General features: G+C 48.1%; 1 annotated feature.

Annotated features, from left to right (window-relative positions):
- Positions 3,742-4,241: an enhancer, noted in NCBI's record as "H3K4me1 hESC enhancer chr1:37984063-37984562 (GRCh37/hg19 assembly coordinates)". NCBI's record gives its function as "activates a minimal SCP1, AML or CMV promoter by ChIP-STARR-seq in naive H9 embryonic stem cells {active_cell/tissue: H9 hESC(naive)}" and the evidence as "EXISTENCE:reporter gene assay evidence [ECO:0000049][PMID:30033119]".

Here is a 7,584-nt window from a genome sequence, read left to right as displayed (position 1 = left end):
TTTGTATTTTTAGTAGAGGTGGTGTTGCATCATGTTGGCCAGGCTGGTCTTGAACTCCTGACCTCAGGTGATCCACCCAACTCAGCCTCCCAAAGTGCTGGGATTACAGGCGTGAGCCACTGCGCTTGGCCTTTTTTTTCTTTTTGACAGAGTCTTGCTCTGTCACCCGGGCTGGAGTGCAGTGGCACGATCTTGGCTCACTGCAACCTCTGCCTCCCAGGTTCCAGTGATTCTCCTGCCTCAGGCTCCCGAGTAGCTGGGATTACAGGCGCACACCCCCACGCCAGGGTAAGTTTTGTTTTTTTAGTAGAGACAGGGTCTCACCATATTGGCCAACCTGGTCTCGAACTCCTAACCTCATGATCTGCCCTCCTTGGCCTCCCAAAGTGCTGGGATTACAGGCATGAGCCACTGTGCCTGGCCAAGAGCGGAGGTTTAATAGGCGAAAGAAAGAGAAAAGCTCTCTGCTGCAGAGAGGGGTCCCAAGCAGGTCTTCCTGACAAACCTTTTTAAAGGAAAAAATAAGAATTACATAATGGTTTTGAAACAGTTATCCTGGTTACAAATATCAGTAACAAAGGTGACACCAGTCTGAGGTTAGACAGGAAATTAGTTGCTGGGCAGATTTTTTTGCAGAAATATGTTTATGTGTGGAAGACTACAATGCCCATTGTGGCTACACTGTAGTTTTTGTAGAGTCTTTTTTATTATCAGGCATACAAGTGTGAAACTCTCTTCATAGTCATCCCTGGCTCTACTCATCAGGGTTTTCTTAACATTTGTGACTCCATTTTGATTCTGACAACTTTCACAAAATTAATACAATTACTTTCTTGAGGATGACATATATATATGTATATCCTTCTGGCCAGGCGTGGTGGCTCACGTCTGTAATCCCAGCACTTTGGGAGGCCAAGGTGGGCAGATCGCCTGAGGTCGGGAGTTCAAGACCAGCCTGACCAACATGGAGAAACCCCGTCTCTACTAAAAATACAAAATTAGCTGGGTGTGGTGGCGGGTATACCTGTAATCCCAGCTACTTGGGAGGCTGAGGCAGGAGAATCACTTGAACCCAGGAGGCGGAGGTTGCGGTGAGCCGAGATCAAGCCATTTCACTCCAGCCTGGGCAACGAGAACAAAACTCTGTCTCCAAAAAAAAAAAAAAAAAAAAAAAAAAAAAAAAAAAAAAATCCTTTCTAATTATTTCTACATTTTTCCTCTGAAGATAGTTATATTTTTTAAGCACATAAGAAAACAAGTCACCATAGGTAAGAAGCAGCAGAAATCACACAGGCTTCAGATACACACAGACTTCAGATTCTTGAATTATATAAGACAGTATAAAATGTTCATGATTACTATTTTTCTAATTTAAAAAAAGTTTAGAGGTGAGGTTTTGCTATGTTGCCCAGGCTAGATTTGAACCCCTGGGCTCAATGATCCTCCTGCTGCAGCCTCCTGGGTAGCTAGGATTACAGGTGTGCACCACCAGCAGTTGGCCATATTACTATTGTCAAAGAAATAAATGAACTTGAAAATATCCACAGGTAACAGTTACGGGAATAAGTGAAATGGGAGTTATTTAGAAGACCAAGTAGAAGTTTCAGAAATGAAAAGTATAATAACTAAACCCATCAATCGGTGGCTTTAACAGCAGATTAGTGCAGCTTCAGGGAGAATTAGTGAACTAATAGAACTAATGGATGAGAATAAATTATCTATCCACATTATTATTTTTTTTTTTGAGGCAGAATTTCTCTCTTGTTGCCCAGGCTGGAGTGCAATGGCATGATCTCGACTCACCGCAACCTCTGCCTCCCAGGATCTCTCTCTGTTGCCCAGGCTGGAGTGCAATGGCGTGATCTTGGCTCACTGCATCCTCCGCCCCCGGGGTTCAAGCAATTCTCCTGCCTCAGCCTCCTGAGTAGCTGGGACTACAGGCGCCCACCACCACGCCCGGCTAATTTTTGTATTTTTAGTAGAGACGGGGTTTCTCCATGTTGGCCAGGCTGGTCTTGAACTTCCGACCTCAGGTGATCCGCCCGCCTCAGCCTCCCAAAGTGCTGGGATTACAGGCGTGAGCTACTGCACTTGGCCTCATTTTTTTTTTTGAAACGGAGTTTCGCTCTTTTTGCCCAGGCTGAAGTGCAATGATGCAATCTTGGCTCACTACATAACCTCCGCCTCCCAGGTTCAAGTGATTCTCCCACCTTAGCGTCCCGTGTAGCTGGGATTACAGGCACACGCCACCACGACCGGCTAATTTTTGTATTTTTAGTAGAGATGGAGTTTCATCATGTTGCCCAGGCTGGTCTTGAACTGACATCAGGTGATCTGCTTACCTCGGTCTCCCAAAGTGTTGGGATTACAGGCGCTACAGGCACGAACCACCGCGCCTAGCCTCTTTTTTTTTTCTCTGTCGCCCAGGCTGGAGTGCAGTGATGCAATCTCAGCTCACTGCAACCTTTACCTCCTGGGTTCAAGCGATTCTCCTGCCTCAGCCTCCCAAGTAGCTGGGATTACAGGTGCCCACGACCCTGCCCTACTAATTTTCGTATTTTTAGTAGAGAGAGGGTTTCACCCTGGTGACGGGTCTGATCTCAAACTCCTGATCTCAGGTAATCCACTCACCTCAGCCTCCCAAAGTACTGGGATTACAGGTGTGGACCACCGTGCCCAGCCTATGCACATTAATTTAACTTAGATGAATGGACCAATTCTTTGAAAACTATAAACTACCTTGTTATGGCTTGGATGTTTTGTCTCCAAATCTCATGTTGAAAGTGATCCCCAGTGTTGGAGGTGGGGCCTGGTGGGAGGGATTTAGGTTATGGGGGTGGATTCCTCATGAGGGGCTTGGTGCTTTCCCCACAGTAATGAGTTCCTGCAAGAGCTGGTTGTTAAAAAGAGCCTGGAACTTTCTCTTCTCTCTCTTGCCATGTGACACACTGGCTCCCCTTCACCATTGGCCATGGTTGTAAACTTCCTGAGGCCCTCACCTAGAAGCCTGCACAACTATGAGCCAAATACATCTCTTTATAACAGTCTCAGGTATTCCTTTATAGCAATGCAGAACAAACTAATACAGGAAGTTGGGATGGAGGAGTGGGGGATTGCTATAAAGATACCTGAAGATGTGGAAGTGTGTCCGGAATTGGTGGGTTCTTGCTCTCACTGACTTCAAGAATGAAGCCACGGACCCTCGCGGTGAGTGTTACAGCTCTTAAGGTGGCGCGTCTGGAGTCTGCCCCTTCTGATGTTCAGATGTGTTTGGAGTTTCTTCCTTCTGGTGGGTTCGTGGTCTCGCTGGCTGAGGAGTGAAGCTACAGACCTTCACGGTTAGTGTTACAGCCCTTAAGGCAGCGCGTCTGGAGTCTTTCGTTCCTCCCGGTGGGCTCGTGGGCTCACTGGCTCCAGGAGTGAAGCTGCAGACCTTCACGGTGAGTGTTACAGCTCTTAAGGTAGCACGTCTGGAGTTGTTTGTTTCTCCCGGTGGGCTCGTGGTCTTGCTGGGTTCAGGAGTGAAACTGCAGATCTTCGCGGTGAGTGTTACAGCTCATAAAAGCAGCGTGGACCCAAAGACTGAGCAGTAGCAAGATTTACTGCAAAGAGCGAAAGAACAAAGCAGCCACAATGCGGAAGGAGACCCCAGCAGGTTGCCAATGCGCCTTCTGGCAGGCTGCTTTTATTCTCTTATCTGGCCCCACCCACATCCTGCTGATTGGTAGAGCCCAGTGGCCTGTTTTGTCAGGGCGCTGATTGGTGCGTTTACAATCCCTGAGCTAGATAGAAAGGTTCTCCACGTCCCCATCAGATTAGTTAGATACAGAGTTTGGACACACAGGTTCTCCAAGGCCCCACCAGAGCAGCTAGATACAGAGTGTCGATTGGTGCACTCACAAACCTTGAGCTCAACACAGGGTGCTGATTGGTGTATTTACAATCCCTGAGCTAGATATAAAGACTCTCCACGTCCCCACCAGACTCAGGAGCCCAGCTGGCTTCACCTAGTGGATCCCGCACCGGGGCTGCAGGTGGAGCTGCCTGCCAGTCCTGCGCCATGCGCTCGCATTCCTCAGCCCTTGGGTGGTCGATGGGACTGGGCACCGTGGAGTAGGGGGTGGTGCTCGTCAGGGAGGCTCGGGCCGCACAGGAGCCTATGGAGTGGGTGGGAAGCTCAGGCATGGCGGGCTGCAGGTCCCGAGCCCTGCCCCGTGGGAAGGCAGCTAAGGCCCGGCGAGAAATCGAGCGCGGCGCCGGTGGGCCAGCACTGCTGGGGGACTCAGTACACCCTCTGCAGCCACTGGCCCGGGTGCTAAGTCCCCCATTGCCCGGGGCCAGCAGGGCTGGCTGGCTGCGCCGAGTGCGGGGCCCACCAAGCCCACGCCCACCCGGAACTCCAGCTGGCCCGCAAGCGCCGCACGCAGCCCGGGTTCCCGCTCGTGCCTCTTCCTCCACACCTCCCTGCAAGCTGAGGGAGTGGGCTCCGGCCTTGGCCAGCCCAGAAAGGGGCTCCCACAGTGCAGTGGGGGGCTGAAGGGCTCCTCAAATGCCACCAAAGTGGGAGCCCAGGCGGGGGAGGTGCCGAGAGCAAGCGAGGGCTCTGAGGACTGCCAGCACGCTGTCACCTCTCAGAAGCGGCTTTGGAACTGGGTAACAGAGAGAGTTTGGAAGAGTTTGAAGGGCTCAGAAGACAGGAACACAAAGAAAAGTTGGGAACTTTGAATGGTGGGTACTGGTTGCAGTGAGCTGAGATTGTGCCATTGTACTCCGTGACAAGAGAGAAATTCTGTCTCAAAAAAAAAAAAAAAGAAAAATAAATATTGTAAAGAAATGAATAGGCAGTTTGGCAATTCTTTTTTAATATAGTTAAGCACAAAGCTGGATTTAGTGTGGAGCCAAATTTCACATCCATGCTTGTATTGCTTCACACTATGTTTACTGTTTTGCATGGATAGTGCTGGCACTGGAGTACTTATTGGTCATGTGCCTAGAGTGAATTTCTTGATTTTGCAGGATGTATGGTGATATTGGTGGACTTAAGGATATTGAATTGTGTATTAGGAATAAAATATTATGTGGAGTTTTGGGGGCTCTGGGTAACACTGTAGCCTCCAGGGTAGATTGAGTAGGAAAAATTTAGAGTTGGTTTCCTGTTTATTTGTTTTTGTTTCTAATTTTCATTCGTTTGCTGTTTATTCTCCTCTGGGCCTTGCTTGTGTATGCATATATATATCGCTTCTTGGCCTTTTGGCTAAGATCAAGTGTGTATTCATATATATAAAACCATGATTTTTTTTTTTTTTAGTTTCTATTGGAAGGCTTTTATGTGGTTCTGTGAATAGTTATTTTGTTTCCCATGCGTTTCTAGCAGGTCATCATTTGTTCCATTTATCTGGAATTCCCAGGCTACCTTTGTCGGGCCTCCGGGAATTGATGGAGCACACCAACTTTTTTTTTTTTAAGATGGAGTTTCACTCTTGTTGCCCAGGCTGGAGTGCAATGGCGCAATCTCGGCTCACTGCAACCTCCACTTCCCGGGTTCAAGCTATTTTCATGCCTCAGCCTCCTGAGTACAGGGATTACAGGTGCCTGTCACCACGCCCGGCTAATTTTTTATATTGTTAGTAGAGACGGGGTTTCACCATGTTAGTCAGGCTGGTCTCCAACTCCTGACCTCAGGTGATCCACCTGTCTTGGCCTCCCAAAATGCTGGGATTATAGGCGTGAGCCACCTCGCCCAGCCAGCTTTTTGTTTTGTTTTGTTTTGTTTTTGAGACAGAGTCTCACTCTCTCACCCAGGCTGGAGTGCAGTGGCGATCTCGGCTCACTGTATCCTCTGCCTCCCCGGTTCAAGCGATTCTCCTGCCTCAGCCTCCTGAGTAGACGGGATTATAGGCGCACACCACCACACCTGGCTAATTTTTTGTATTTTTAGTAGAGATGGGGTTTCACCATGTTGGTCAGGCTGGTCTTGAACTCCTGACCTCGTGATCCGCCCGCCTCGGCCTCCCAAAGTGGTGGGATTTAGCCACCGCACCCAGTGGCTTAAAAGTTTTTTTACTTGTTTGTTTTTTGGTTTACACTAGGAATATAGAGGTACTTCCTCACCTTGAAAAACAGCATCTACAAAACTCCCACAACTAATGTCATACTTAATGGTGAGAGACTGAATGCATTCGCCACCCCCCCTTTTTTTTTTTGAGACGGAGTCTCGCTCTTGCCCAGGCTGGAGTGCAGTGGCGGGATCTTGGCTCACTGCAAGCTCCGCCTCCCGGGTTCACGCCATTCTCCTGCCTCAGCCTTCCGAGTAGCTGCGACTACAGGCGCCCACCACCACGCCCGGCTAATTTTTTTTGTATTTTTTAATAAAGACGAGGTTTCACTGTGTTAGCCAGGATGGTCTTGATCTCCCGACCTTGTGATTCACCCGCCTCGGCCTCCCAAAGTGCTGGGATTACAGGCGTGAGCCACCGCGCCCGGCCTGCATTCCCCTTAAAACAGGGAACAAGGCAAGGATGTCTAATGTTATCACTTTTATTTAACAGACTACTGGAAATCTGCACAATAAGGAAGAAAAAGAAAAAGCACTCAGCTTAGAAAAAAAAAAACTCCCTATTTATTTGCAGATGAAATTATTATCTATGTAAAAATTCCAAGGAATCTATACAACCCCCCCTAAAATTAGTAAGGGAGTTCAGCAAGATGGCAGGTTACAAGATCCGCACACGAAACCAGTTATTCAGAATGCAGCACAGAGGGACAAAAAGATGGAAAATATAGACGGTAGGTTAAAAAGCTTCTTATGTTCGAGTTCCAGAAGGAGAGAGAAATGAGACAGGCATCTGAAGAAAAATGACTGCGATTTCCCAAAACTGGTGGAAGATACCAACCCACATATTATAGAAATCCAAAGACTTCCAAGCAAGAAACAAAACAAAAGGAAGAAAAAATATCCCACTTAGACTTATGATAGCGAAACTGCAGAACAGTGAAAGATGGAGAGCTGAGGACGGAGAAATCCACAGGGGCCAAGTGAAAACAACGTTTACACCTTGGACTTAACGATAAAAGCGAACTCGTACTTGCACAGTCATTGGCGCCTGCCAAACCCCTTACACATATTAGGTGATTTACTCCTCACAGCAAATGTATTAGGTAGATTCTATTACTGCTTGTATTTTACAGATGAGGGAGTTGAGATTTGGTTATTTGCCCAAAGGAGCACACTTTATCGATGTAGCGATAGGATTTTGAACAAGGTAGTTCTCGCTCCAGTTTTGTGCCCTTAACCACTACACATACTTGTTTCTCCAAAGGGCACTGGGAAAATGGGAAGCCACTGAAAGACTTTAAACCGGGGAGTGATAACATTTGTTTCTGGAAGATCCTGGCACCACTGTGGATAGTGGATTAAGTGGGGCTAAAGGTGGAAATAAGCCGCTGGAATAATGTAGCCCCAAACAGGGAGGGCCTGAATGAACTAGTGAGGTGGCAGAAGGCGCAGGCACAAGCAAATGGATTCGCGAGCTCTTCCGGAGTCGAGTCCATAGAGCTTGACCTGGGATCGCGTTTTACTCCAGG

Source organism: Homo sapiens, chromosome 1 (assembly GCF_000001405.40).
Source record: "Homo sapiens chromosome 1, GRCh38.p14 Primary Assembly".
Classification (NCBI taxonomy): domain Eukaryota; kingdom Metazoa; phylum Chordata; class Mammalia; order Primates; family Hominidae; genus Homo; species Homo sapiens.
This window is presented reverse-complemented; position numbering and strand designations above follow the sequence as displayed.